At 44.7% G+C, this 21204-nt stretch overlaps 1 protein-coding gene and 1 long non-coding RNA gene across 7 annotated transcripts in view, besides 2 other annotated features; one reads left to right on the top strand and one right to left on the bottom strand.

The window, feature by feature from the left end:
* Positions 1–20855, bottom strand: SLCO5A1-AS1 (SLCO5A1 antisense RNA 1). 6 transcript variants are annotated; one of them, NR_186568.1, is made up of 4 exons: positions 20774–20855; positions 11570–11665; positions 4658–4830; positions 1–295 (listed from the first exon to the last, which is right to left on the bottom strand). It is a non-coding gene; the product is annotated as an SLCO5A1 antisense RNA 1 (long non-coding RNA). The 6 variants fall into 6 exon arrangements; NR_186566.1 differs by lacking the exon at positions 1–295 and having other exon boundaries at positions 4176–4830; positions 20761–20855; NR_186567.1 differs by lacking the exon at positions 1–295 and having other exon boundaries at positions 4176–4736; positions 20761–20855.
* Positions 19724–19833: a silencer, noted in NCBI's record as "silent region_19265". NCBI's record gives its function as "represses an Ori minimal core promoter by ATAC-STARR-seq in GM12878 lymphoblastoid cells {active_cell/tissue: GM12878}" and the evidence as "EXISTENCE:reporter gene assay evidence [ECO:0000049][PMID:35858748]".
* The window catches only part of SLCO5A1 (solute carrier organic anion transporter family member 5A1), a 167933-nt gene continuing 166717 nt past the window's right edge, over positions 19989–21204 (top strand). The window contains exon 1 of the mRNA NM_030958.3: positions 19989–20113. The gene's annotated coding sequence lies outside the window, so the exon portion shown is untranslated. The remainder of the gene's footprint in view (positions 20114–21204) is intronic.
* Positions 20154–20233: an enhancer, noted in NCBI's record as "active region_27501". NCBI's record gives its function as "activates an Ori minimal core promoter by ATAC-STARR-seq in GM12878 lymphoblastoid cells {active_cell/tissue: GM12878}" and the evidence as "EXISTENCE:reporter gene assay evidence [ECO:0000049][PMID:35858748]".

Genomic DNA, 21204 nt, shown 5'->3' with positions numbered 1-21204 from the left:
TTTTTTGGGGATTAAAAAGATTTTCAGAACCAACAACACAAATAAAGTATCTGATCAAATCTACTCACAGTGCTTTCTCTCAAAAAGCAAAATGTGAACATAAAATAATGAGATACAGTTTTCTTCTATGGCTGACAAGCTGGTTCTTAGGGCAATTTTGTGACAGATGCAGATGACTGGTCCACCTTTCTTGCATGCTTTTCTGTATCAAAGGGGCTAGGAAGCTATAAACTATATTTTCTGGGTCCTTTTGTAGTGTGGGCCCAGATGTTGCTGGTTTTGCCAAACAGGAACACTGGCAAGGAAAGTAGAAGGAGGAGTGAGACATGGGGCGCATATGCCTCCATCCCTGTCTCTTATGTGAGAGTTCTACTGCCAACACTGCTACTGTTACCTCTGATTTTTTTGGAATCTTTAGGAAAAAGGTTTAGATCTTATGGCACAATCTTTAGAATAGTATCAGTGGTTGACACTGTCTTTGGGGTTAGATTTTATTTTTTGGGGATTAAAAAGATTTTCAGAGCCAACAACACAAATAAAGTATCTGATCATATCCATTAACAGTGCTTTTTCTCAAAAAGCAAACTGTGACTGTAAAATAATTAACATGTGTTAATTGCTGTTAGACACATGCTCATTTCAGTCTGAAAACCAAAAATGTGAAGCTCAGACAGGCTGAGTAACATCCCTGCCATCACACAGCCAGTCAATGACCAGCCTCGATTTTAAGCAGGTTTGTCCGGTTTCAGAATCTTACACTAATTGTGTAATAAGAAAGACCTGGAAAGATCTAGGTTTGAACATTGTCTCCACCGCTGACCAGCTATGTGGCTTTGGGGAAGTTACCTAATCTTTCAACCCGTTTCCTCTTCTACAAAATGGGGATAATGATGTCTACTCTTAAGGGCTTATGAGGAACAGAGATCATATATGTCCAGTTGCTGTAAGGAATGGGACAGGCATTATGTCACATCATCCTTGCAGACTTTGCCAACAACTGTCAGTGAAACTTTGGGAAAATTCCTTACCTTCCTCGGGTTTCAGTGTCTTCATCTTTAAGATTGGGGTATGAATGGCAGGACAGGAATGGGACTAAATGAAGCTTAAGAGGATTATGCAGGGTGAGGGTCAGGTGAAGGCTTTGAGCCCAATATGACAATGCCAAATTTCAAAAATCCAGAAATCTGGGGTTTTCATCTGAAATCTCCCAATTTTAAAACTTGGGTAACTAATTCAGAAAACTAAAAAAATTATATATATATTTGTATACATGTTTATACACACACACACACACACACACACACACACACACACGTGCACTTTACCACCAGTCTGATTTTGCCACAGGTTTGTGAATTTTTGGCAAAACAATTCCTAAATTCCCTCCAATCTAAAGTCATTGATTTGACATTAGAAAATAACAGTGGTCCAATACCTAGTCTTGACTTACATAGCTGAGCCCAAGGTCATGGTTCAGTCTTTTGCCTGCATTGTTCTAATAGCTTTGAGAGTGGTCTTTCTACCTGCAGTTTCCATCCTATTTCAGTCCCTCCCAGCTTTTCCTGAAAGATCAGTTTTCATAAAGTCCTGCTTTATCCTGTCACTGCTCTGCATAGAAACCTTTGATGAGTTTCTATTGCCTACATACTAGAGTCCAAACTTCTCAGCCAAGGGAGACGATCTTTTCTATCTTCCTGCCTGTTTTTCCCCTTCACATGCCCCAACTTTCCCAACAATTTGAGCATCCCTGAGACATCCTGCCCAGGGTGCTTCTGTTTTGGTCTCCTTTATCAGGGGTTGCTCTGTCTCAGAGGCCGTGGGTTCTATTCACAGATATGAAAATTCTGCTTACTCTTCAGGGTCTAACTCAAGTCTTTCTTCATCTATAGAGTATTTCTCTCCATGGGTTTTGCACCTGGCAGAAGTCAGAGTCTTGGTCTTAAAATTGCAGAGGGCTGATAGCATTCTGTCTTGGAGGCATATGAGTAAGCTGATCTTATTAGGTTTTCAATAGCTTGGATTACTTTGCTTGTTCATGTTTTTGCATATTTGTTATACATATTTCTAAGACTAGTAAAAATAATTTCCAAGGTTTCAGACCTTTCTTCCTAGGGGATATTTTCTTTAGGGAAGATTGGGGAAGAATGCACATAGTACAGAGAGAAAATGCATGTTTTTGTTTACCTATAAATCTCTTCTTTTAATTTATTTATTTTTAAGGCAGAGTCTTGCTCTGTCTCCCAGGCTGGAGTGCAGTGGCACGATCTCGGCTCACTGAAACCTCTGCCTCCCAGGTTCAAGCGATTCTCCTGCCTCAGCTTCCTGAGTAGTTGGGATTACAGTTATGCATCACCACACCCAGCTAATATTTGTATTTTTGGTAGAGACGGGGTTTTGCCATGTTGGCCAGGCTGGTCTCGAACTCCTGACCTCAAGTGATCCGCCTGCCTTGGCCTCCCAAAGTGTTGGGAATACAGGCTTGAGGCACTGCACCCGGCCTCTTATTTCTTCTTAGAGCACATTTCTTTTTCTTTTCTAGAGTTGAAGATTCATCACAGGTCTAATACGAGCTAATTTTCACAATCTTTCTGGTTCAAAAAAAATCACAATTGTCTTCTGGTGTGAAATTTCACAAATAATGACAACTAAAGGAAGGGAAAAAGATCTTGACTTTTAGATGTTATATTTCTACTGACATGACTATTTGCCTGGCCATTTCTCAGTTTAAGCAAGCTAAACCTAGACTTTAAAAGCTCTAATTTTCACAAAGGGATTGACATGAGACAGTTCATTTATCATTCAAATCCCATTATCTGATGACAGGTTCTGCAGCCCCCAAATGGAATGCTAAATCCTGTAAAATCACTTTCTTGATGTTCCAGGTGGTACATTCTACTACGGGGTTATTTTGTATTCATCAGTTACAGCAAAAGAACTAGAACAATTGTCATGTATCCCTGAAATCCAAAGAGAATGGAGCATAGATGTCAGGCCAAAAATACAGGCACCTGTGTATGCATATGCTGAAACCAATAGCAGTGATGAGTGAAATAATACAGCACTTTGGATGGGCGCAGTGGCTCACACCTGTAATCCCAGCACTTTGGGAGGCCAAGGCGGGTGGATCACCTGAGGTCAGGAGTTCGAGACCAGTCTGGCCAACATGGTGAAAACCCAGCTATACTAAAAATACAAAAATTAGCTGGGTGTGGTGCCAGACACCTGTATTCCCAGCTACTTGGGAGGCTGAGGCAGGGAGAATCACTTGAACCTGGGAGGCGAAGGTTGCAGTGAGCCAAGATTGCACCACCGCACTCCAGCCTGAGTGACAGAGTGAGATTCCATCTCAAAACAAAACAAAAATCAGCACTTCTTCCTGGCTTTTTGGAGTTTTTCTATAATCAGATAATTATCAAAAATGTCATCAATAATAAAGGACAGCAGAGAGGAGAGAAGGGAATTCGAGTGGATTTTGTAAAGAGCCCTTTTCAGGTATCTCAATATAAAGAAAAGGCTGTTCAAAAAGATATGCTAAGGGAAGTGAGGCTCAATAGTGCACACCTGTGGTCTCAGCTACTTGAGAGGCTGAGGCAAAACAATTGCTTGAGCCCAGGAGTTCTGAGCTGTAGTGTGCTGTAGCAATTGGGTGTCTGAACTAAGTTTGGCATCAATATGGTGACCTCCTGGAGTGGGGTCCACCACGTTGTTTAAGGAGGGGCGAACTGGCTTAGGTCAGATATGAGCAGAATCAGTAGTGGGACTGGGCCTCTGAGTAGACACTGCATTCCACCCTGGGCAATATAGTAAGACCCTAGCTCTCTCTCTCTCTCTCTTTTTCTTTTTTTGGAGATGGAATCTTGCTTTGTTTCCCAGGGTGGAACGCAGTGGCACAATCTTGGCTCACTGCAATCTCTGCCTCCGGGGTTCGAGCGATTCTCCTGCCTCAGCCTCCTGAGTAGCTGGGATTACAGGTGTGTGCCACCATGCCTGGCTAATTTTTGTGTTTTTAGTAGAGACAGGGTCTCACCATGTTGGCCAGGCTGTTCTTGAACTCCTGAGCTCAGGTGATCCACCCACCTCGGCCTCCCAAAGTGTTGGGATCACAGGAGTGAGTCACCGCGCCTTGCTGTCCCTGTCTCTTAATTTTGAAAAAAAGAAAGAAAAAGACAATGTGGGACACTCTGAGTGAGTTCCCCACCTTTCTATGATATTTATTTAGACAAGGTCTCCCTCTGTCACCCAGGCTGGAGTGCAGTAGTGCAATCCTGGCTCATTGTAGCCTCCAGCTCCTGGGCTCAAGCGATCCTCCTGCCCCAGCCTCCCAAGTAGCTGGAACTACAAGTTCATGCTACCACATGTGACTAATTTTTAAATTTTTTGTAGAAGTGCGTTTCCCTTTGTTTTCCAGGCTGGTCTTGAACTCCTGGCCTCAAGTGATTGTTCTGCCTCAGCCTCCCAAAGTGCTGGTATTACAGGTGTGAGCTACCACATCTGGCCCCATGATTTTATTAAAAAAAAAAACTAGTATGTGATGTTTGTGATTTGGAATCTCAGGAAGCCAGGTTTGATTTCATCTCTCTTTTGCAAGACAGGCCACCAGAGAATGAGGCTAGGTTTTCTCTCTCATCACTAACAATCAGATATTTCTCAACCTTACAGTGGAATGCAGGCTGGAGAGGGGCCGTGGCGCTCAGAGGGTGAACTTCAAGGGAAGCTTGTTCCAGGAGTGCGGCTCACTGTGTAGTAAAGGAAAGGCGGGCAGAGAAGGATGGCGAAAAATTCATGAGTTGGAAATGAAACCAGGGGTAGTTACTCTCAGCTTCGGCAGTCCTGTAATAAGCCAAATCCTAGTCATTAGAGATTTTGGTTATATGGGGTAGCTTATTTTGTGTCTTTATTCAAAACTACAGCATGTATTATTTGCATTTGGATTGCTTCATCGTACTTAAATATTGCACTACAGAGAAATGTTTTATCTTAATCAATACACAAGCTCCTAAAAGGATCACAGCATTTTTTGGAGAAAATTGAGCAAGATGGCTAGGAGTGTAGATTCTGGGGTGTAGATTCTGGAGTACAGCTGGTCTGCATTTGACTCTCTCTCCACACTTTCTATGCTGTGTGAATTTGGGCACGTTGGTGATCATCTCTGATTCTCAGCTCCCTCCTCTATTAAAGGGTTTGGTAATACCTCCCTGATAGTGAAGATGAAATCATGTTTGTGAAATATGTAGTGCTAATATGGTAAATGAGAGAGATCATTTTTGTTTTAATTTTGTGAATTCTTGAGCGGTGGTGGAATTATTGATAAGAAGGGGATTCTGGTGATTGAAAGGTGAACAAACAAAATCAACCAAATATTGGACCCCCAAAGATAGGATGTTTTATTGGCCTGGCAATAATTTTCTAGTCTGGAGCTAATCCTGGAGAAGTGTGTGACCCCCATGAAACAAAAGATACAGGTTCCCCTGCCCTCTAACAAGCAGAGAGAACAAATAATACTATTATTTTTTTTTCTATCTTATTCTTTGCCTATATATATATTTTTTATTATACTTTAAGTTCTAGGGTACATGTGCACAATGTGCAGGTTTGTTACATGTGTATACATGTGCTATGTTGGTGTGCTGACCCATTAACTCGTCATTTACATAGGTATATCTCCTAATGCTATCACTCCCCCCTCCCCCCACCCCATGACAGGCCCCAGTGTGTGATGTTCCCCTTCCTGTGTCCAAGTGTTCTCATTGTTTAATTCCCACCTATGGGTGAGAACATGAGGTGTTTGGTTTTTTATCCTTGCGATAGCTTGCTGAGAATGATGTTTTCCAGCTTCATCCATGTCCCTATAAAGGACATGAACTCATCCTTTTTTATGGCTGCCTGGTATTCCATGGTGTATATGTGCTACATTTTCTTAATCCAGTCTATCATTGATGGACATTTGGGTTGGTTCCAAGTCTTTGTTATTGTGAATAGGGCCGCAATAAACATATGTGTGCATGTGTCTTTATAGCAGCATGATTTATAATCCTTTGGGTATATACCCAGTAATGGGATGGCTGGGTCAAATGGTATTTCTAGTTCTAGATCCCTGAGGAATGGCCACACCGACTTCCACAATGGTTGAACTAGTTTATAGTCCCACCAGCAGTGTAAAAGCATTCCTATTTCTCCACATCCTCTCCAGCACCTGTTGTTTCCTGACTTTTTAATGATTGCTATTCTAACTGGTGTGAGATGGTATCTCATTGTGGTTTTGATTTGCATTTCTCTGATGGCCAGAGATGATGAGCATTTTTTCATGTGTCTGTTGGCTGCATAAATGTCTTCTTTTGAGAAGTGTCTGTTCATATCCTTCACCCACTTTTTGATGGGGTTGTTTGTTTTTTCCTTGTGTGTCTGTTTGAGTTCATTGTAGATTCTGGATATTAGCCCTTTGTAAGATGAGTAGATTGCAAAAATTTTCTCCCATTCTGTAGGTTGCCTGTTCACTCTGATGGTAGTTTCTTTTGCTGTGCAGAAGCTCTTTAGTTTATTTAGATCCTGTTTGTCAATTTTGGCTTTTGTTGCCATTGCTTTTGGTGTTTTAGACATGAAGTCCTTGCCCATGCCTATGTCCTGAATGGTATTGCCTAGGTTTTCTTCTAGGGTTTTTATGGTTTTAAGTCTAACATATAAGTCTTTAATCCATCGTGACTTAATTTTTGTAGAAGATGTAAGGAAGGGATCCAGTTTCAGCTTTCTGCATATGGCTAGCCAGTTTTCCCAGCACCATTTATTAAATAGGGAATCCTTTCCCCATTGCTTGTTTTTGTCCAGTTTGTCAAAGATCAGTGGTTGTAGATGTGTGGTATTATTTCTGAGGGCTCTGTTCTGTTCCAAGATCTATATATCTGTTTTGGTACCAGTACCATGCTGTTTTGGTTACTGTAGCCTTGTAGTATAGTTTGAAGTCAGGTAGCGTGATGCCTCCAGCTTTGTTCTTTTGGCTTAGGATTGTCTTGGCAATGCAGGCCCTTTTTTGGTTCCATATGAACTTTAAAGTAGTTTTTTCCAATTCTGTGAAGAAAGTCATTGGTAGCTTGATGGGGATGGCATTGAATCTATAAATTACGTTGGGCAGTATGGCCTTTTTCAGGATATTGGTTCTTCCTACCCATGAGCATGGAATGTTCTTCCATTTGTTTGTGTCCTCTTTTATTTTGTAGAGCAGTGGTTTGTAGTTCTCCTTGAAGAGGTCCTTCACATCCCTTGTAAGTTTGATTCCTAGGTATTTTATTCTCTTTAAAGCAATAGTAAATGGGAGTTCACTCATGATTTGGCTCTCTGTCTGTTATTGGTGTATAAGAATGCTTGTGATTTTTGCACATTGAGTTTGTATCCTGAGACTTTGCTGAAGTTGCTTATCAGCTTAAGGAGATTTTGGGCTGAGATGATGGGGTTTTCTAAATATACAATCATGTCATCTGCAAACAGGGACAATTTGACTTCCTCTTTTCCTGATTGAACTCCCTCTATTTCTTTCTCTTGCCTGATTGCCCTGGCCAGAACTTCCAACACTATTTTGAATAGGAGTGGTGAGAGAGGGCATCCCTGTCTTGTGCCAGTTTTCAAAGGGAATGCTTCCAGTTTTTGTCCATTCAGTGTTATATTGGCTGTGGGTCTGTCATAAATAGCTCTTATTATTTTGAGATACATCCCATCAACACCTAATTTATTGACGGTTTTTAGCATGAAGGGTGTTGAATTTTGTCAAAAGCCTTTTCTGCATCTATTGAGATAATCATGTGGTTTTTGTCTTTGGTTCTGTTTATATGCTGGATTACGTTTATTGATTTGCGTATGTTAAACCAGCCTTGCATCCCAGCGATGAAGCCCACTTGATCACGGTGGATAAGCTTTTTGATGTGCTGCTGGATTCAGTTTGGCAGTATTTTATTGAGGATTTTTGCATCAATGTTTATCAAGGATATTGGTGTAAAATTCTCTTTTTTGGTTGTGTCTCTGCCCGGCTTTGGTATCAGGATGATGCTGGTCTCATAAAATGAGTTAGGGAGGATTCCCTCTTTTTCTATTGATTGGAAGAGTTTCAGAAGGAATGGTACCAGCTCCTCCTTGTACCTCTGGTAGAATTCGGCTGTGAATCCATCTGGTCCTGGACTTTTTTTTGGTTGGTAGGCTATTAATTATTGCCTCAATTTCAGAGCCTGTTATTGGTCTATTCAGGGATTCAACTTCTTCTTGGTTTAGTCTTGGGAGGGTGTATGTGTCCAGGAATTTATCCATTTCTTCTAGATTTTCTAGTTTATTGGCATAGAGGTGTTTATAATATTCTCTGATGGTAGTTTGCATTTCTGTGGGATTGGTGGTGATATCCCCTTTATCATTTTTTATTGCATCTATTTGATTCTTCTCCCTTTTCTTCTTTATTAGTCTTGCTAGCAGTCTATCAATATTGTTGATCTTTTCAAAAAACCAGCTTCTGGATTCATTGATTTTTTGAAGGGTTTTTTGTGTCTCTATCTTCTTCAGTTCTGCTCTGATCTTAGTTATTTGTTGCCTTCTGCTAGCTTTTGAATGTGTTTGCTCTTGCTTCTCTAGTTCTTTTAACTGTGATGTTAGGGTGTCAAGTTTAGGTCTTTACTGCTTTCTCTTGTGAGCATTTAGTGCTATAAATTTCCCTGTACACACTGCTTTAAATGTGTCCCAGAGATTCTGATATGTTGTGTCTTTGTTCTCATTGGTTTCAAAGAACATGTTTATTTCTGCCTTCATTTCATTATTTACCCAGTAGTCATTCAGGAGCAGGTTGTTCAGTTTCCATGTAGTTGAGCAGTTTTGAGTGAGTTTCTTAATCCTGAGTTCTAGTTTGATTGCACTATGGTCTGAGGGACAGTTTGTTGTGATTTCTGTTCTTTTACATTTGCTGAGGAGTGCTTTACTTCCAACTGTGTGGTCAATTTTGGAATAAGTGCAATGTGGTGCTGAGAATAATGTATATTCTGTTGATTTGGGGTGGAGAGTTCTGTAGATGTCTATTAGGTCTGCTTGGTGCAGAGCTGAGTCCAATTCCTGGATATCCTTGTTAACTTTCTGTCTCGTTTATCTGTCTAATGTTGACAGTGGGGTTTTAAAGTCTCCCATTATTATTGTGTGGGAGTCTAAGTCTCTTTGTAGGTCTCTAAGGGCTTGCTTTATGAATCTGGGTGCTCCTGTATTGGGTGCATATATGTTTAGGATAGTTAGCTCTTCTTGTTGAATTGATTCCTTTACCATTATGTAATGGCCTTCTTTGTCTCTTTTGATCTTTGTTGGTTTAAAGTCTGTTTTATCAGAGCATAGGATTGTAACCCCTCCTTTTCTTTGTTTTCCTTTTGCTTGGTAGATCTTCCTCCATCTCTTTATTTTGAGCCTATGTGTGTCTCTGCATGTGAGATGGGTCTCCTGAATACAGCACGCTGATGGGTCTTGACTCTTTATCTAATTTGCCAGTCTGTGTCTTTTAATTGGAGCATTTAGTCCATTTACATTTAAGGTTAATATTGTTATGTGTGAAATTGATCCTGTCATTATGATGTTAGCCGGTTATTTTGCTTGTTAGTTGATGCAGTTTCTTCCTAGCCATCGATGGTCTTTAGAATTTGGCATGTTTTTGCAGTGGCTGTTACCAGTTGTTTCTTTCCATGTTTAGTGCTTCCTTCAGGAGCTCTTTTAGGGCAGGCCTGGTGGTGACAAAATCTCTCAGCATTTGCTTGTCTGTAAAGGATTGTATTTCTCCTTCACTTGTGAAGCTTAGTTTGCCTGGATTTGAAATTCTGCGTCAAAAATTCTTTTCTTTAAGAATGTTGAATATTAGCTTCCACTCTCTTCTGGCTTGTAGAGTTTCTGCCGAGCAATCTGCTGTTAGTCTGATGGGCTTCCCTTTGTGGGTAACCCAACCTTTCTTTCTGGCTGCCCTTAACATTTTCCCCTTCATTTCAACTTTGGTGAATCTTACAATTATGTGTCTTGGAGTTGCTCTTCTCGAAGAGTATCTTTGTGGCATTCTCTGTATTTCCTGAATTTGAATATTGGCCTGCCTTGCTAGGTTGGAGAAGTTCTCATGGGTAATATCCTGCAGAGTGTTTTCCAAGTTGGTTCCATTCTCCCCGTCACTTTCAGGTACACCAATCAGATGTAGATTTGGTCTTTTCACATAGTCCCATGTTTCTTGGAGGCTTTGTTCATTTCTTTTTACTCTAAACTTCTCACTTCATTTCATTAATTTGATCTTCAATCACTGATACCCTTTCTTCCAGTTGATGGAATCAGCTATTGAAGCTTGTGCATTCATCATGTAGTTCTTGTGCCATCGTTTTCAGCTCCATCAGGTCATTTAAGGACTTCTCTACACTGGTTATTCTAGTTAGCCATTTGTCTAATCTTTTCTCAAGGTTTTTAGCTTCTTTGCGATGGGTTCGAAATTCCTCCTTTAGCTTGGAGAAGTTTGATCATCTGAAGCCTTCTTCTCTCAACTCGTCAAACTCATTCTCCATCCAGCTTTGTTCCATTGCTGGTGAGGAGCTGCATTCCTTTGGAGGGGGAGAGGTGCTCCGAGTTTTAGAATTTTCAGCTTTTCTGCTCTGTTTTTTCCCCATCTTTGTGGTTCTATCTACCTTTGGTCTTTGATGATGGTGACGTACAGATGGCGTTTTGGTGTGGATGTCCTTTCTGTTTGTTAGTTTTCCTTCTAACAGTCAGGACAGTTAGCTGCAGGTCTGTTGGAGTTTGCTGGAGGTTCACTCCAAACCCTGTTTGCCTGGGTATCAGCAGAGGAGGCTGGAGAACAGTGAATATTGCTGAACAGCAAATGTTGCTGCCTGATCGTTCCTCTGGAAGCTTTGTCTCAGAGGTGTACCCGGCTGTGTGAGGTGTCAGTCTGCCCCTACTGGAGGGTGCCTCCCAGTTAGGCTACTCGGGGGTCAGGGACCCACTTGAGGAGGCAGTCTGTCCATTCTCAGATCTCAAACTCCGTGCTGGGAGAGCCACTACTCACTTCAAAGCTGTCAGACAGGGACATTTAAGTCTGCAGAGGTTTCTGCTGCCTTTTGTTTGGCTATGCCCTGCCCCCAGAGGTGGAGTCTACAAAGGCAGGCAGGCCTCCTTGAGCTGCTGTGGGCTCCACCCAGTTCCAGCTTCTGGGCCGCTTTGTTTACCTACTGAAGCCTCAGCAATGGCAAGCGCCCCTCCCCCAGCCTCGCTGCCGCCTTGCAGTTTGATCTCAGACTGGTGTGCTAGCAATGAGCGAGGCTCCATGGGCGTGGGACCCTGGGAGCCAGGCGTGGGATATAATCTCCTGATGTGCCATTTGCTAAGACCATTGGAAAAGCGCATATTAGGGTGGGAGTGACCTGATTTTCCTGGTGCTTTCCGTCACTGCTTCCCTTGGCTGGGAAAGGGAATTCCCTGACCCCTTGCACTTCCCGGGTGAGGTGATGCCTTGCCCTGCTTTGGCTCACCCTCGGTGGGCTGCACCCATTGTCCTGCCCCCACTGTCTGACAAGCCCCAGTGAGATGAACCCAGTACCTCAGTTGGAAATGCAGGAATCACCCGTCTTCTGTGTCGCTCAAGCTGGGAGCTGCAGACTGGAGCTGTTCCTATTCGGCCATCTTCGAACCGCCCCTGAGAAAAAATATTATTAAGATGAATGCAAAAGATAGCATGGCATAAGTATAACTATGGCTAACATTTAAGCACCTACCTTGGTCCAGGCACTGGTCTGCGTGTATGTTTGAAGCATATGTTGCATGTGTTATCCCATTTGATGCTTTGAAATAGGTATTGTGTTTAACCCCAACTTGGAAACTGAGTAAAAAGAGCTTTAGGGAATTGCCCAAATCCATACTGCCGTAAGTGACAGAGTCAGGACTAGATTTATGTGGTTTGGCAACGAAGTCCTCTTTTCTCTGTTTAATCATTAAGGTGTGTGCCATTTAATTGGCAGCATTTTTTCCTTCTTAGTGGTCCATGAAATAATGGTGCATCTTAAAATTGATGATGTCTTTCTTGTAATTAAAGTTGGTATAGTGACACCCACACACTCACCACAAAGATTTAATCATGTTGGTTTGCTATGAAGTCCTTTACAATTTTTTTTAAATTAATGTATTTTTTAAGAGATAGGAGTCTTGCTATGTTGCCCAGGTTGGTCTTGAACTCCTAGCTTCAAGCAATCTTTCTGCCTCAGCCTCCAGAGTAGTTTGGATTACAGGCTTCAGCCACTGTACTTAGCTGGGATCTTTCTTTGTCATCATTCTATTCCGTCTGTCCTACAAATGAAGCAGGCCTTCTGAAGAGGGGTGGGGAAGTCAGGAAGGATAACAACAGGTCTAAAGTGATACATTTAGAATTGTTAGAGTATCTGTTCTTTTCCATAATGTAAGGAAATGATAACCTGGTGCCATCCCACCTGCTTCGTAGAGGGGCTTCAGCAGTGTGTCATTGCAGTGATTGTGTTGTTTTGTATCATCTTGTGTTAATTATACTTCTATGCTCTGGGATAAGACCACTACCTTTAGGTTCCCCTGAAACATAGATCTTTCTATGGATCTAGGAAAGAAGCATGTCCTCAGATAGGCAATGGAAACCCAGAAAGTAGGATGGAGAGAGAAATTCCAGCTTTCTCTGGGCTTTGCTCTCTGGATCTAGATTTTTTGAGAAGGCTACAATTCAGGGTTGTCCTTGAGTAGATCCTAAAAGGGACTTCGTCTACAGAGAGGCAAGCTAACAGCAAGGCAGAGGGACCCCAGAGTGTGACTGATAAGCTGTAATTTTCTAGTTGATGACCTAGTATTTTGATACTTGTCCAGGGACAGGATAGAGCAACCACTTTGCATTTTTAGGCAGAAAGGGATTCACTATAGGAGGTTAGGGGCTTACAGAATATCCAGAAGATCTGGATACATGGTCTCTAGGGTGGGTCACCAGGAGTGATGCTATAACACTGCAGATCCATCCTGCCAGGAAAGCTGGTACTTCTGCTACAATCTGCAGGATGAGGAGTCAAAGGCATTCACTGGTCTCTTGACTTCAGGGCATCGTGTAGTGGCTGAAACCAGAAATCAGAAAGCAGCCAATACTGCAGCTGCCTCTCAACATCTAGAAGCTGGAATTTGGACAAAAGAATACCAAAGCAGAAAAATATCATGTCTCCATGAACTGCTTGCTGGCATAGACAGCCACAAAGGATATGGCCTGTGCCTCACCCTACCTTCCCAAACGTGCCAGAGTACATCAATTCTTATCTAGAACCTGATACAGAGGGAATCTGGAAAAGGTAGTTTTATAGCTTTTCCAAACTCTGCCATTTTTTTTTTTTTTTTTTTTTTTTTTGAGACGGAGTCTCGCTCTGTCGCCCAGGCTGGAGTGCAGTGGCGGGATCTCGGCTCACTGCAAGCTCCGCCTCCCGGGTTCACGCCATTCTCCTGCCTCAGCCTCCCAAGTAGCTGGGACTACAGGCGCCCGCCACTACGCCCGGCTAATTTTTTGTATTTTTAGTAGAGACGGGGTTTCACCGTTTTAGCCAGGATGGTCTCGATCTCCTGACCTCGTGATCCGCCCGCCTCGGCCTCCCAAAGTGCTGGGATTACAGGCGTGAGCCACCGCGCCCGGCCCAAACTCTGCCATTTAAGAAAGAACAGAAAAGTAGGGAGTGCACACTGACTGCCAATCAACCACATCTAACACAGTTACTTTTGTTTTATCACATGAATTTATTTTCCTTTATTAGCCTTTAGCCTTGAGGAAAGACCTGTTTAAAAGTTCAGACCTTAGATCAGCTGCACCGTAGAGTATAAGTGAAGCTAATGTCTCAGTGGCAGCATCAAATTAGGCAGTGCTGGTCAAGAATTGTGTAGGGTCTAGGATTTTCACCTTCTTCCAAGATGACAAGTTATCCTGTTAGGGTTTCATGGATACTGGGGAGAAAAGACTCCAGGGTCAGAGACAAAGGATATTATCACTTATGGCAAAGGCAGCAGCCAGAGGGTGAGAATGATGCTTGTGCCAGTTCCCCATGCCCCACAAGTCCCACAGGGTGATGCAAAGAGCTCACTATAGATGCCTGTGCACATGATGGGTTGCATCATGGGAGAGAAGCACTGAGCTTAGAGGATACATTACTTTTCAATAAGCAGAAGCAGCAAGGCTGCTCTTTGCCCAGGGGAAAATATTACCTCATCCCTCCAGGTTGCTGGCTGCAAACACAACTCTGAGAAACGGCCTGGGTAAAGAGTGGTGTGACATTACTACACATACATGCACACACATCCATATACACATATAGGTTTTCACCCATGGCTCCTGACTTATAACAGTCATCTGTTCTGATGTTGGGGCACTGTAGGCCTCAGAAGCAGGCCTCAGGAAACACAATTTCTTTTTGACCCTCCTCTGTCCTCTCTTCTTCTGCCCAGGACAGTCTTTCTTTCTTTCTTTCCTTCCTTCCTTCCTTCCTTCCTTCCTTCCTTCCTTCCTTCCTTCCTTCCTTCCTTCCTTCCTTCCTTCCTCCTTCCCATCCTTTCCCTTCCCTTCCCTTTCCTTCCCTTCCCTTCCTTCTTTCTTTCTTTCTTTCTTTCTTTCCTTTTTTTTTTTTTGACAGAGTTTCACTCTTGTTGCCCAGGCTGGAGTGCAGTGGCATGATCCTGGCTTACCGCAACCTCTGCTTCCCGGGCTCAAGCGATTCTCCTGCCTCAGCCTCCCGAGTAGCTGGGATTACAGGCGTGTGCCACCACACCTGGCTAATTTTGCATTTTTAGTAGAGATGGGGTTTCTCCATGTTGGTCAGGCTGGTCTTGAACTCCCGTTCTCAGTTGATCCACCCGCCTCGGCCTCTCAAAGTGCTGGGATTACAGGCATGAGCCACCGCACCCGGCTCCAAGGTAGTCTTTCTGATCGGAGGTCATAAGACCCTCATCCCAGAGGCAGTCCTGCCCCATACCCTGAAGGTGCAAATGCAGCACAGAGAGGCCAAGGAGAATATGGTCAGACAGGGCTTGCTGGGTTTCCCCCACTCAGTCTATCAGTATTAGAGCCTCTGCTTTTTGTCCAATCACCGTCTGACATGTTTGTCTTCAGTCATGTCTATCCAAGGAAGTCTCCAAAAAAGGCCCAGGAGGACAGGGTTCAGAGAGCTTCTGGGACAGCTGAACATGTGGAGGTTTCTGAGGGGTGGCGCACCTAGAGCGAGTATGGAAGTTCTGTGCACCTCCCCGCATACCTCCCCTGTGCACTTCTTCATCTGTGTTCTTTCTGATATCCTTTGTATTAAACTGGTATATGTAAGCGTTTCCCTGAGTTCTGTGAGCCTGTCCAGCAAATTAATCAAACCCAAAGAGGGGTTGTGGGAATCCCAAATTGAAGCTAGTTGGTCAGATGTTCTGGAGGCCCAGACTTGACTCTGGGTCTAGGGGAGAGAGGAGGCAGTTTTGTGGGACTGAGCCCTCAACCTCTGGGATGTGATGCTATCTTGAGGTAGATAGTGTCAGAACGGAGTTGAATTGGAGGATGCCCAGCTGGTGTCTTCTGCAGAACTGATTGCTTGTTGGTGTAGACTGCCCACCAACATCTGGTCACAGAAGTCTTTTGTGTTGATTGTTGCGGTATGAGAGCAGAGGACAATGCAGTTTGAGTTTCTCTGCATTCAGAAGTGGTTAGGGCTTTGCATTCTAGGTGCACCCAAGAGAAACATGTAGAGATGCTCACAGCCCATGGAGGACTGCCTCTTCTAACCTGCTTCCTTCCCCTTCCCATCCGACCACTTTCTTTTCCAGGCCAAGGTGGCAGTGGTGGTAATTATGAAACATCTTTCAAGGGAACATGATTTTTTTTTTAAGACAACTGTCTCCTCTTCACAGGGAAGTTTCCCTCCATTACTAGCCTTGGAGTATCTGGCTTTATTATTATTATTATTATTGTTGAGATGGAGTTTCACTCTTGTTACCCAGGCTGGAGTGCAATGGTGCGATCTCGGCTCACTGCAACCTCCGCCTCCCCAGTTCAAGTGATTCTCTTGCCTCAGCCTCCCAAGTAGCTGGGGTTACAGGCATGTGCCACCACACCCAGCTAATTTTGTATTTTTAGTAGAGATGGGGTTTTTCCATGTTGGTCAGGCTGGCCTTGAACTCCCGACCGCAGGTGATCCACCCACCTCGGCCTCCCAAAGTGTTGGGATTACAGGCATGAGCCACTGCACCTGGCCTGGCTTAATTATTTTTTGTTGTTGTTGGTTTTTGTTTGTTTGTTTATTTTTTGAGACAGGGTCTTGCTCTGTTGCCCAGGCTGGAGTGCAGTCGCGCAATCACAGCCTACTGCAGCCTCTACCTCCTGGGCTTAAGTGATCCTTTTGCCTCAGCCTCCTGAGTTGCTGAGACCACAGGCATATGCCACCATGCCTGGCTATTTAAAAAAAATTTTTTTTTAGTGGAAATGTGTTCTCAAGGGATCCTCCCATCTCAGCCTCTTAAAGTGCTGGGGTTACAGGTGTGAGCCACAGTACCCAGCTAATCTGGCTTAATTATATTAAGGGAGGTGGCAGTTTCTTTATAGGGAGCCAAGCCTCCAGGTGTTCATGGAACTGTGGTTTCTTGGGGGTGTGGGACTTGCAGTGCTAAGTCTCTTTGGACACAGTTGGTCACTATACTCCTTTAGCACTTGCAGGGCCCTCAAGCCACCAGGGCTGGAGTGATTGCCTGCATTCATTGTACCCCAGGGCCAGATCTGTTCCTTCTCAGGTTTTACCCAACCTGAAATTCACTTCTAAGGAAGGATATACATGCCAAGTTCTATTAAGGGGCTACCTTAAAGATACAATGTGTCTCCTCTTAAACAACCAACACCTAATTCAATTATGTTACTGGCAACTATGTATTATGTTTTGCACCCACAAAATATTCTGAACCAAAAACTCAGTTCTTGTTGTATCTGGGAGACCTCTGAAGTGAACCTTCTTTAAGAAGGAAGGGAAGGGCTGTGGGAAAAGGCTCCCTTCAGCTTTCTTCTGCCCATTCTCCAGGACGGCCAGATTTTAAACCTGTAGACTGCCCTGGAAATTGCAAAGGCTACATACTTGTTATATGAAGATCAGGAAAGAAATCATTTATTTATTTATTTATTTATTTATTTTTAAAAAGAAGTCATTTATGTATAAAGTCGATGGACTTAGAAGAAGCAAACGTAAGTCTGAAAGTTTGAAGAGGGTTTACAGTCATATGCTTCCTCTCCCAAAATGCCAAACAAGGCAGGCATTCTGGTTAAAGTAACTGTAATTATTGAGTGAAATAAGGATAGTAAACACTACCATAGGGGTAGTAGAACCCCGTGATATGAGTCCATTTCTTTGTATTAATCAGACAATTACGGCTAATGAGGTGTGCTCTTCTTTTTCAAAGTCATATTTAACTGGGAAAGATAAAGCAAAAGAAATGCTTCTTGCTGAATGTTTTCTTCTTGTTTCCTATGTGAGTAAAATTGGACCTTTTAAAATTTTGTCTTTTTTAAAGTCATATTTAACTGGGAAAGATAAAGCAAAAGAAATGCTTCTTGCTGAATGTTTTCTTCTTCTTTTGTGAGTAAAATTGGACCTTTTAAAATTTTGTCTTTTTTAAAGTCATATTTAACTGGGAAAGATAAAGCAAAAGAAATGCTTCTTGCTGAATGTTTTCTTCTTCTTATGTGAGTAAAATTGGACCTTTTAAAATTTTGCTGTAAATCATGATCTATTAGTGGCAATAAAAAAATCCATAGGTTCTTAGAGTTGCATCTACTTTACGGTAACTGAGCATGAATAAAGACAGAGTGTTTCAGGGACACGATTGCTTGATTTTCAAGTAGGGAAGTCCTGTGATGTCCCCTGATGTATCACATTGAATTCACTGATGTCTGGAGCTGAGACTGAAATGAGAGAATGGGACACAGAGCTTGGAAGGAGGTAATAGGAGGTAGGTTGATTCTGTGTGGATTTAGAATCAGCTCAGAAGAGTATTTGGGTTCAGGAAGTGCCACGTATCTTTGCTCACTTTATCAGCAGTAGAGGACTAAAATCTGGGCAGGGTGGCAGCGGGAGTCCTATTGCCTGTTTGTAGAAAAGTGACTGTGCCTGATGGCGATCTCAAGAGGAGGAGACAATGGCAGGGAATGAAGAAATGCCTCGGTTGATAGGTCAGTCTTGCAGCTGCCAGAAGATTGATGCTCTCTCAGCATGGACTTCAAATACACACTGATTGTTCTTTACTGTCAACTGGCCTTAATTGTTCTCTAAGGATCGCTGTAGATACGACGGTTGTTGGACTAAAGGGAGATAATCAAAAGAATCAAGGTGCATTGACGAGTCAGGATGTTATTCAATGGCAGGAGAGAGGGTAGAGAGTCAGGGTTAAGAGGTTAAGTAAGAACATAGTCTTTTGGAGCACATTGGTTCATATTGTCTACAGAGCAGCTGTGTGCCTATATAAAGTTACTTAACCTCTCTACACTTATCACATCTGTAAAATGGAGACAATGCTTTCATTGGGCAAGGCCAAGGGCCAGTGGAGGGGCTTCGACCTGGCAGCAATGGCCAGCATGGTCACTGGTACTTGTGAGCAACCTCCTTTCCTCCATTAGAGCACTATCCTGCTCTGTCAATGGTCACAAGTGCCCTCAGATACTCTTTTTTTTTTTTTTTTTCAGTTATCATCCTGTTTGTCTTCCCTGCAGCCTGTACACATCTGACCCTTCCCTTCTTACAGTCGTCTGCTCTTTTGGCTTTTCTGATGCGTCCCACACCTCTCTGACCCTTGCTTCCAGTCTCCTTCCTTTGGCTGTACGCTGTCCTCCTAGATTCTTCACAATTTGGATGATCTTCCCTATTCATTCCATCCTTTCTCATGCCACCTTTGGGCTGATGACTACTGATCAATATTCCTAGTCCAAACCTCCTGTGTGTCCAGTGGCTTATGGGACACGTACACTGGGATGTCCCCCAAACATTTCAAACTCAACACATGTAGATGAGAACAATCTTTCTCCTAAAGCATGTTTCTCCACCTGTGCTTTTATTGGCTGTCAGGCACGTAGTCACCCAACTTGGTGCTAGAAACTTGGGAGTCATCCTACCTCGGCTGGTTTTCTTCTCTTGCAGATTGCATCAGCTGCCCAGTTCCCTCCTCTCCATGCCCCCTGCCAATGCCTCATCACATTTTGCTTTCAGACTGCCTCCCAACTCACTTCTGTGCCCGCAGTGTGGCCTCACATCTGTCTACCTGTCACTGCCAGAGCCAGCTCTCTGGTGAGGAAGTCAGAACGTCATTGCCCCCACATTATTGACAGTACACAACTTAGGAAACCCGTAGTGCCCCTTTCTACTCAGCCACTCTTGCAGTCTGGTCCTCTGCCCCATCCCTGCAATCTTCTAGGAAGCTTATCTACCTATTGACTGGCAGCACCATGCCCCCGTGCCTCTGTTCTTCCTGCTGCGTGGAAATGAAGGCTAATGGATATTGGCTACTCCAGTAGCAGGCTGCATAGATGTACCACGTTGTTTTAAGCCATTTACATGAGTATTTCCCCCACAAGCCAGAGGTTTCCTCCGACCAAGTATCTTGTCTTGTTTATCTTTGGTCCCAGAATCTACTATGGTGAATGAGACATGGTGTGTGCCCAAGGCACGGAATAAACGATCAGAAATGATTTATTTATTCAGAGTGGGCTGTCAGCTTCAGCCGCTGACTTTTCTAGAGACCGGCTCCCTCGGGGCTTCAGCGCTCTTGGGCCCCCGCAGCCACGCAGGTGAAGGGCAGCGGGGTGGCTGGCTGTGGGAGGGCTGGGCTGGGTGGCTGCCCTCGCGCCTGCGCCCTCGGCTGCTCCTCTCCGGGCGCGTCTCTGTGCGCGTGTGTCTGTTTGGAGCGGAGGAGAGGCTTGGGTGACAGGCGAGGGGTGGGGGGAAGAGTTCAGCCTGAGTCACAGTCTCATTCACTGATTTCTCTTCGGCTGGACGGAGGCTGCCTCCTCACGCGGCTCCCAACTATTCCCGTAGCTCAGTGCCCCCCTCCCGCCGCTCTACTCAGCCAGGCAGACAGACTGACAGACTCGCTAGTGAGTAGCGGCGGCTTGAGCGCCCGGGCAGCGCGGCGGGCTGTCGCCGGCGGTCTTGTCTTCCCACGGGCTCTGTGTGTGTGTGTGTGTGTGTGTGTGTGTGTGTGTGTGTGTGTGTAGGATGTGCGTGTATGTGATGTGCGCGCAGGGGGTGTCCCTGGGATTCCACGCCTGCTCCAAGAGCTCCCTGCCGGGATCCGCGTGTCCATCCGAGTCTGCGATGCTGTGAGGGCGCTCGCCTAAGCAGGGGGTTCGGACGCCCCCCGCGAGCGGCGAGAGTTTGCTGGGATTCCCCGGCTCCTCACGCAGCGGCTGGTGGGGTTCCCCGGGAAGGCGCCTGGGTAAGGCAGCGGCGGGGAAGCCCGGGATTGTGAGTGGCTGGCAGGCCGGGAATCTGGGAGCGGGTTTGGCCCAGCACAGCCGAGGGAGATGCCGGAGCGGCCACCCTTGGCCGCCCAGCCTCTCTGCCTTTCTCCCTTGCCCTTCCTCCTTTCTTTTCTCAGCAGCATCACAAAGGCGCGCTGCAAAATGAAACCCAGTGTAGTGAAGCTCGGCTGTCTCCCACCTGGTGCATATTCCGCCCCCCGTCCTTGCCCCAGGCTGGAGGAGTGGAGTGGGGGTCCCCAAGATTAGGGGCGGGGTCTTACCACGGGGGCACACCTGTTTTCGATTCTTGCTGAATTCAAGCTGGGTGCGGGATCGCGAGAGAGGTTCCAGTACGCCGGTGTGTGTGTGTGTGTGTGTGTGTGTGTGTGTGTGTGTGTGTGGCCGCGCACGCGCACACGCTCCCCAGGCCCACGCTAGCGGGGTGCGCTCAGTCAATAGCACACCTCCCCGCCGGCCCGCGTGCGCCCAGCCGGCTCCGTGGGCTCCTCGCGCGCTCTCTGACAGCGTGCCGGGATCTCTTTGTTTGGTTGTGGCTTCCCTAGCTCTCGGCAAAGCAGACGGATTTTCGGTTTCGTTTGATACCGCGCTCTGGGACTTAGTGCGGGCCACAGCCTCGAATGCCCCTGGTATTTGTAATTGAAGAGTTCTTTCGGTCAGGGGGTTATTTTTGGTGTTGGGAATAAAGAGGCAAGCATGTTGACCTT

This window comes from Homo sapiens, chromosome 8, assembly GCF_000001405.40.
Source record: "Homo sapiens chromosome 8, GRCh38.p14 Primary Assembly".
NCBI lineage: Eukaryota > Metazoa > Chordata > Mammalia > Primates > Hominidae > Homo > Homo sapiens.
The sequence above is the reverse complement of the archived record's forward strand: the minus strand, read 5'-3'. Positions and strand labels throughout refer to the sequence as shown.